Here is a 9418-nt window from a genome sequence, read left to right on the forward strand (position 1 = left end):
TCTGAACAGCAGCCTTGAGTTCCAGATTTTTCCACTGAAATAGTCTACCCAAAATAGGAGGAATCAGAAAAATAATTCTGGTAGAACGACAAAACAAGGTTCTATAACACCCCCAAAAGATGACACTAGATCCCCAGCAATGGATCCAAACCAAGAAGAAATCTTTGAATTGCCAGGTAAAGATTTCAGAAAGTTGATTATTAAGCTACTCGAGGAGATACCAGAGAAAGGTGAAAACCAATTTAAGGAAATTTTTAAAAAATACAAGATATGGATGAAAAATGCTCCAGAGAAATAGACATTATTAAGAAAAAACAATTATAACTTCTGGAAATGAAAGACACACTTAGAGAAATACAAAATGCATTGAAAAATTTCAACAATAGAATTGAACAAGTAGAAGAAAGAACTTCAGAGCTTGAAGACAAGGTCTTTAAATTAACCCGATCAGACAGAAACAAAGAAAAAAGAATTTAAAAAAATAAACAAAGCCTCCAAGAAATTTGGGATTATATTAAACAGCCAAACCTAAAAATAACTGGTGTTCCTGAGAAAGAAGAGAAATCTACAAGTTTGGAAAACATATTGAGGGAATAATTGAGGAAAACTTCCCTGACCTCACAAGTGATTTGGATGTATAGACATCCAAATATAAGAAGCTCAAAGAACACCTGGGAAATTAATCACAAAAAGATCATCATTCAGGCACATAGTCATCAGGTTATCTAAAGTCAAGACAAAGGAAAGAATCTTAAGAGCTGTGAGGCAAATGTATCAGGTAACCTATAAAGGAAAACCTATGAGATTAACAGCAGATTTCTCAGCAGAAAACCTACAAGTCAGAAGGGATTGGGTCTTATCTTTAGCGTTCTCAAACAAAATATCTGCCAGCCAAGAATTTTGTATCCAGCAAAACTAAGCTTTCTAAATGAAAGAGAGATAAAGTCTTTTTCAGAAAAACAAATGCGGAGAGAATTTGCCACCACCAAGCCAGCACTACAAGAAATGCTAAAATGAGTTCTAAATCTTGAAACAAAACCTTGCAAAATAGAACTGCCTCAAAGCATAAATCTCACAGGGCTTATAAAACAATAACATGATAATAATTTTAAAAAACCAAGGTATTCAGACAACGATTAGCCTGGTGGATAGAAGAGTAACTCACATCTCAATACTAATGTTGAATGTAAATGGCCGAAATGCTCCACTTAAAAGGTACAGAATGGCAGAATGGATAGAAATCCACCAACCAAGTATCTGCTATCTTCAAGAGACTCACCCAATGCATAAGAACTCACATAAACTTAAGGAAAAGGGGTGAAAAACGCTATTCCATGTAAAGGGAAACCAAAAGTGAGCAGGAATAACTATTCTTATATCCGACAAAACAGACCATAAAGCAACCAATAGTTAGAAAAGACGAAGAGGGACATTATGTAATAACAAGATCAGTCCAACAGGAAAATATCACATCCTAAATATATATGCACCTAACACAGGATCTCCCAAATTTATAAAAAAATTATTATTCAACATAAGAAATGAGATCGATAGCAACACAGTAATAGTGGGGGACTTCAGTACTTCACTGAGAGCACTAGACAGGTCATCAAGACAGAAAGTCAACAAAGAAAAAATGGACTTAAATTATACCCTAAAACAAATGGACTTAACAGATATTTACACAACATTCTACCCAACAACTGCAGAATACACATTCTTTTCATTAGCACATGGAAAATTCTCCAAGATAGACCATTTGGTAGGCCAAAAACCGAGTCTCAATACATTTATAAAAATCAGAATTATATCAAGTACCTTCTCAGACTACAGTGGAATAAAATTGGAAATTCACTGCAAAGGGAACCCTCAAAACTATGCAAATACAAGAAAATTAAATAATCTGCTCCTGAATGATCTTTGGGTCAAGAATGAAATCAAGATGGAAATCTTAAAATTCTTTGAACTGAACAATAATAGTGACACAACTTATCAAAACCTCCAAGACACAGCAAAAGTGGTGCTAAGAAGAAAGTTGATAACATTAAATGCCTACATCAAGAAGTCTGAAAGAGCACAAATAGACGATCTAAGGTCACACCTCAAGGCACTAGAGAAACAAGAACAAACCAAACCCAAACCCAGCAGGAGAAAGGAAGTAACAAAGATCAGAGCAGAACAAAATACAGTTGAAAGAAACAAACAACTAAAGATAAATTAAACAAAAAGCTGATTCTTTGCAAAGATAAATAAACTTTATAGACCATTATCAAGATTAACCAAAAAAAGAAGAGACAAGATCCAAACAGGATCAATTAGTAATGAAATGCGAGATATTATTATACAACTGATACAGCAGAAATACAAAGGATCATTCAAGGCTACTAGTTTTCATGCACACAAACTAGAAAATCTAGAGGAGATGGATAAATTCCTGGAAATATATAACCCTCCTAGATTAAATTAGGAAGAAATAAAAACTCTGAACTGACCAATAACAAGTAGCAAGATTGAAACAGTAATTTAAAAAATTGCCAACAACAAAAGAAGTCCAGGGCCAGATAGATTCACAGCTGAGTTCTATCAGGAATTCAAAGAAAAATTGGTACCAATTTTACTGAAACTATTCCAAAAGATAGAAAAAGAGGGAATCCTCCTTCAGTCATTCTGTGAAGCCAGTGTCACCATAATACCCAAGGCAGGAAAGGACATAACAAAAAAAGAAAACTACAGACGAATATCCCTGATGAACATAGATGCAGAAATTGTCAAAAAATACTAGCTAACGGCCGGGCGCGGTGGCTTACGCCTGTAATCCCAGCACTTTGGGAGGCCGAGGCAGGCGGATCACAAGGTCAGGAGATTGAGACCATCCTGGCTAACACGGTGAAACCTCGTCTCTACTAAAAATACAAAAAGTTAGCCGGGCGTTGTGGCAGGCGCCTGTAGTCCCAGCTGTTCGGGAGGCTGAGGCAGGAGAATGGCGTGAACCCAGGAGGCGGAGCTTGCAGTGAGCCGAGATCGCACCACTGCACTCCAGCCTGGGTGACAGAGTGAGACTCTGTCTCAAAAAAAAAAAAAAAAAAAAAAAAAATACTAGCTGACTGAATCCAACAGCATATTAAAAAGATAATACACCATGATCAGGTGGGTTTCATACCAGGGATGCAGGGATGGTTTAACATATGCAAGTCAATAAATGTGATACATCACATAAAGAGAATTAAAAAGAAAAATTATATGATCATCTCAATAGATGCAGGAAAAGCATTTGATAGAATCCAGCATCCCTTTATGATTAAAACCCTCAGCAAAATCGGCATAGAAGACACACACCTCAAGATAATAAAACCCATCTGTGACAAACTCACAGCCAACATTATACCAAGTGGGGAAAAGTTGAAACCATTCACCCTAAGCACTGAAGCCAGACAGGATACCCAATTTCACCACTTCTGTTCAACATAGTACTGGAAGTTCTATCTAAAGCAATCAGACAAGAGAAAGAAATAAAGGGCATCCAAATCAGTAAAGAGGAAATGAAACTGTCACTGTTTGCTGATGATGTGGTCGTATACCTAGAAAACCATAAAGATTCATTCAAAAAGCTCCTAGATCTGATAAATGAATTCAGTAAAGTTTCAGGATACAAAATCAATATACACAAATCAGTAGCAATGCTGTACACCAGCAATAACCAAGCAGAGGACCAAATCAAGATCTCAACCCCTTGTGCAACAGCTTCAAAAAAAAAAAGAAAGAAAGAAAGAAAGAAAGAAAAAATACTTAGGAATATATCTAACTAAGGAGGTGAAAAATCTCTACAAGGAAAACTACAAAACACTGCTGAAAGAAATCATAGATGACACAAACAAATTGAAACACATCTAATGCTCATGGATGGGTAGAATCAATATTGTGAAAATACCCATATTGCCAAAAGCAATCTATAAATTCAATGCAATTCCTATCAAAATACCATCATCATTCTTAACAGAACTAGAAAAAAATCATCCTAAAATTCATAGGGAACCAAAAAAGACCCTGCAAAGCCAAAGCAAGACTAAGCAAAAAGAACAAATCTACAGGCATCACATTACCTGTCTTCCAACTATACTACAAGGCTATAGTTACCAAAACAGCATGACACTAGTATAAAAATAGGCAAGTAGACCAATGAAACAGAATAGAGAACCCAGAAATAAAGCTAAATATTTATAGCCAACTAATCTTCAACAAAGCAAACCAAAATATAAAGTGGGGAAAGGACACCCTATTCAATAAATGGCACTGGGATAATTGGGAAGCTACATGAGGAAGAATGAAGCTGGTTCTTCGTCTCTCACCTTATACAAAAAAATCAACTCAAGATGGATCAAAAACTTCAATCTAAGACCTGAAATCATAAAAATTCTAGAAGATAACATCGGGAAAACTTATACACATTTGCTTAGGCAAAGAGTTCACGACCAAGAATCCAAAAACAAATACAACAAAAACAAAGATAAATAGATGGTAATGGCAGATGCAGGCCATCTAGAGTGGCCGCTGCTGTCACATGGGCTACAGAGGGGGGGCGCGGGTGGTAGCGGCAGGAGCAGCTGCAAAAGCAGCAACAGCAGCAGTGGGTCCCCTGTGCCCAGTGTTCCTGAGGCAGCCAACTGCACTGCCCCCACCCTTGCATGGCCAGGCAAGACCTATTCCAGGCCCAGAGGCTCTGCCACTCTGGACCCTGGCCCTGCGTCACTGCTGTCACCTACTGCCATTGCAGGGAAGGCCTGATGAGGTGGCAGAGCTGGGCCTGAGGCCAGCTAGAATCAGGGACCAGCGGGAGCTCCCTGGAGCCTGCCATGATAGGCTGCTATGATGGGGCTGGGTGGAGCCCCCCGCTGTGGGGGAGCAGCACAGTTGGGCATGGAGGGGTGGGCAGAGAGGGGCCCAGCGAGGACCTGGAGCTGCCACCCCAGGCTGCATGGAGGCACAGCTGGGGATGCCTGCATGCTCCATGGTGCAAGCAGGAGGCCCACCCTCCCAGGAGCAGGACTCAAGCTCTCGCACTCTGCACCCTAGATGCCATGGATGGTGGCAGGAGGGAGACAGGCTTCTGGGTGAAAAAGGGTGGATCCCTAGTGAGACCCCACCTTCAGGCCAGGGAGGGCTTGAAGGCTGGGGGCTGGGCTGCGAGTCCTGAGCGCCGGAATGAAAACTTGTGGTGTCTTTTTTCTGGGCCCATCCATGGCCACCCATGGACCAATCAGCACACACTTCCTCCCCTCTGAGGCCCATAAAAGCCCCGGGGTCAGCCAGAGCTGGACAGATGACAAGACGACCAGCTGCAGAGGGGAGGTACCCTCTCTGCTGGGAGCTGAACACTTGTTGGGATGACCTGCCTGCAGAGAGGAGCTACCCTCTCTGCTAAAAGCTGAACATTTGACAGGACACCCTGGATGCAGAAAGGAGCTGCTCCCTGCGGGGCTCCTCTGAATTGTCCTATTGCTCATAAAGCTCCTTTTCATCTTGCTCACCCTTCACTTACCTGCATACCTCATTCTTCCTGGTTGCAGGACAACAACTTGGAACTTGCTGAATGTCAAGGGTAAAAAAGCTGTAGCACAAACAGGACTGAAGCATGCCTCTTGCTCACCGTGTTGTAGGCAAAGAGAAGGAGAGAAGAGCTGCAGCCCTTCGGGGAGCCCATACCTGGGAGCTCCCTGAGCCATAACTATGACTGCCTCTTTGGGGCTCTGTGGTTTCTGGCATCTCCAAGCTTCCGGGTATCACCACGTTCCCCACTGCCAGCCATGGAAGCTGCTTGCAGTGAGCCTGGTCTGGCCACAGCCTCGCAGAGAGCTGGTGCCCATGCCAGCATGTGGAGCCGCCTGCCCCGCTGTAGCAGCTGGCATGTCTGACTGTACACAGTGGCCAGACCCCATGCTTGCTCACATACCCCTCACTGTTCCATGCCTGACTCACCCTTAGCAGACATGGGATCCGGGCCTTTGGGAGGCATGTGATCCAGGCCGGTAGTGTGAGCTGAGCGCAGCCTACCAGGCTGAGTGGGCAAAATGAGCCTAGTGAGTTTGAGCAAAACTTGGGCAAAGGTGCCACCAGCCACAGAGGTTTCTAGCCAAAAAGCAACACTCCAATGATTCCATAACAATGGGACCTAATTAAACTAAAAAGCTTCTGCACAGCAAAAGAAATAATCAGCAGAAGGCTGGACACGGTGGCTCACTCCTGTAATCCCGGCACTTTGGGAGGCCAAGGTAGGTGGATCATTTGAGGTCAGGAGTTTGAGACCAGCCTGGCCAATATGACGAAGCCCCGTCTCTACTAAAACTCCAAAAATTAACAGGGTGTGGTGGCTCATGCCTGTAGTCCCAGCTCCTTGGCAGGCTAAGGCATGAGAATCGCTTGACCCCAGGAGACTAAGGTTGCAGTGAGCTGAGATTGTGCCACCACTGCACTCCAGTCTGGTTGACAGAGTGAGACTGTCAAAAAAAAAAAAAAAAAAAAAAAAGAAGAAGAAGAAAAGAAATAATCAGCAGAGTAAAAAGATAACTCACAGAGTGGGAGAGAATATTAGCAAACTATACATCCAACAAAGGACTGATATCCAGAATCTACAAGAAACTCAAACAAATCATCAAGAAAAAAAATAATAATCCCTTCAAAGAGTGGGCAAAGGACATGAACAGCCAAGTCTCAAAAGAAGATATGCAAATGGCCAACAAACATATAAAAAATGCTCAATATCACTAATTATCAGGGAAATGCAAATCAAAACCACAATGTGAAACCACCTTACTTCTGCAAGAATGACAATAATTTAAATATCAAAAAATAACAGATGGTATCGTGGATGTGGTGAAAAGGGAACACTTTCACACTGCTTGTGGGAATGTAAACTAGTACAATCACTATGGAAAACTGTATGGAGATTCCTTGAAGAACTAAAAGTAGAACTGCTATTTGATCCAGCAATCCCACTACTGGGTACCTACCCAGAGAAAAAGAAGTCATTACATGAAAAAGACACTTGCACAAGCATGTTTATAGCAGCACGATTTACAATTGTAAAAATATGGAATCAGCCTAAACGCCCACTAACTGAGTAGATAAAGAAAATGTGGCATTCTACTCAGCCATAAAAAGCAATGAAGTAATGGCATCTGCAGCAACCTGGATAAAGTTGGAGACCATTATTCTAAGGGAAGTAATTCAGGGTTGGAAAACCAAATATCATATGTTTTCACTTGTAAGAGGGAGCTAAGCTATGAGGACACAAAAGCGTAAGAATGATATAATGGACTTTGGGGACTGTTGGGGGAAGGTCAGGAAGGGAGGGTGAAGGATGAAAGGCTACACATTGGGAGCCGGGCATGGTGGCTGCTTGGCACGGTGGCTAATGCCTGTAATCCCAGAACTTTGGGAGGCCAAGGCAGACAGATCACTTGAGGCCAGGAGTTCGAGATCAGCCTGGCCAACATGGTGAAACCTCATCTCTACTAAAAATACAAAAATTAGCCAGGCGTGGTGACAGGTGCCTATAATCCCAGCTACTTGGGAGGCTGAGGCAGGAGAATCGCTTCAACCTGGGAGGCGGAGGTTGCAATAAGCCAAGATTATGCCACTGCACTCCAGCCTGGGTGACAAAGTGAGCCCTTGTCTCAAAAACAAAAACAAAAACAAAAAACCCGATGGCTACACATTGTGTACAGTGTACACTGCTTGGGTGATGGGTGCACCAAAATCTCAGAAATTACCACTAAAGAACTTTCCCATGCAACCAAACACCATCTGTTCCCCAAAAACTATTGAAAAAAGTATTTAAAACACAAGAGTCAAAAAATAATTTAAACGTTTATGAAGTACAGTAAGCTAAGGTTAATATATTATTCAAGAAAAAAATCATTTTTACACATTTAATGCAGCCTAAGTGTATAGTATTTATAGAGTCTACAGTAATGTCCTAGGCCTTCACATTCACTCACTACTCACTTTCTGACTCACCCAGGGCAACTTCCAGTCCTGCAAGCTCCATTCGTGGTAAGTACCCTATACAGGTGTACCATTTTTTAATCTTTCATACCATATTTTTACTGTACCTTCTCTACATTTAGAAAGATTTAGATACACAAATACCATTGTGTTACAATTGTCTACAGTGTTCAGTACTATAACATACTATACAGATTTGTAGCCTAAAACAGTAGGCTATATGATATAGCCTAGTTGTATCATCTAGATTTGTGTAAGTACACTGTATGATATTTGGACAAAGATAAAGTTGCCTAATGGTGCATTTCTTTTCTTTTTCTTTTTTATAGTTTCTTTTTTTTTTTTCAGACAGAGTTTCACTCTGTTGCCCAGGCTGAAATGCAGTAGTGCAAATATTGGCTTATTACAACCTCTGCCTCCTAGGCTCAAGCGATCCTCCCATATCAGCCTCCCGAGTAGCTGGGGCTACAGGCAACACAACCACACCCAGCTAATTTTTGTATTTTTTGTAGAGACAGGGTTTCATCATGTTACCCAGGCTGGTCTCAAATTTCTTGGCTCAAGCCATCCTCCCGCCTCAGCCTCCTAATGTGCTGGAATTACAGACATCAGCCACCATGCCCGGCCTGGAACATTTCTTAAAAACATATTCTTGTTATAAAGCGACACATGACTGTGCATTCAATGGAAAATTATTCAGTCATTAAAAGAATGAAATTCTGGCCAGGCATGGTGGCTCATGCCTGTAATCCCAACCTTTGGGAAGACAAGTTGGGTGAATCACCTGAGAGGTCAGGAGTTTGAAACTGGCCCGGCCAACGTGGTGAAACACTGTCTCTAATAAAAATACAAAAATTAGCCAGGCATGCTGGCACATGCCTGTAGTCCCAGCTACTCTGGAGGATGAGGCAGGAGGGAGAATTGCTTGAACCCAGGAGGCAGAGGTTGCAGTGAGCCGAGATCATACCACTGCACTCCAGCCTGGGTGACAGAGTGAGACTCTGTCTCAAAAAAAAAAAAAGAAAGAAAGAAAACACGGAAGGAATGGAATTCTGATACATGTGAAAAATGAGTGAACCTTGAAAACATTATCTAAGTGAAATAAGCCAGACACAAAAGGACAAATTTTGTGTGATTCCACTTACATGAGGTACCTCAAATAGGCAAATCCATAGAGGCAGAAGGTAGAGTAGAGCTTAAACAATGGTAGGGGGAAGAGGGGAGGGAGGGAACAGAGAGTTATTGTTGAGTGGGTATAAAGTTTCTGTTTGAGATAATTAAAACATTCTGGAAGTAGATAGTGGTGATGGCTGCACAACACTGTGCATGTACTTAATGCCACTGAGTTGTACGCTTAAAAATGGTTTAACTGGTGGCGGAACATGGTGGCTCATGCCTGTAATCCCAGCACTTTGGG

The 9418-nt window shown here is 41.7% G+C and overlaps 2 annotated features.

The window, feature by feature from the left end:
- Positions 4211–4765: an enhancer, noted in NCBI's record as "H3K4me1 hESC enhancer chr18:33664612-33665166 (GRCh37/hg19 assembly coordinates)". NCBI's record gives its function as "activates a minimal SCP1, AML or CMV promoter by ChIP-STARR-seq in primed H9 embryonic stem cells {active_cell/tissue: H9 hESC(primed)}" and the evidence as "EXISTENCE:reporter gene assay evidence [ECO:0000049][PMID:30033119]".
- Positions 5874–6427: an enhancer, noted in NCBI's record as "H3K27ac hESC enhancer chr18:33666275-33666828 (GRCh37/hg19 assembly coordinates)". NCBI's record gives its function as "activates a minimal SCP1, AML or CMV promoter by ChIP-STARR-seq in primed H9 embryonic stem cells {active_cell/tissue: H9 hESC(primed)}" and the evidence as "EXISTENCE:reporter gene assay evidence [ECO:0000049][PMID:30033119]".

The sequence above is a fragment of the Homo sapiens genome, chromosome 18, assembly GCF_000001405.40.
Source record: "Homo sapiens chromosome 18, GRCh38.p14 Primary Assembly".
Classification (NCBI taxonomy): Eukaryota; Metazoa; Chordata; class Mammalia; order Primates; family Hominidae; genus Homo; species Homo sapiens.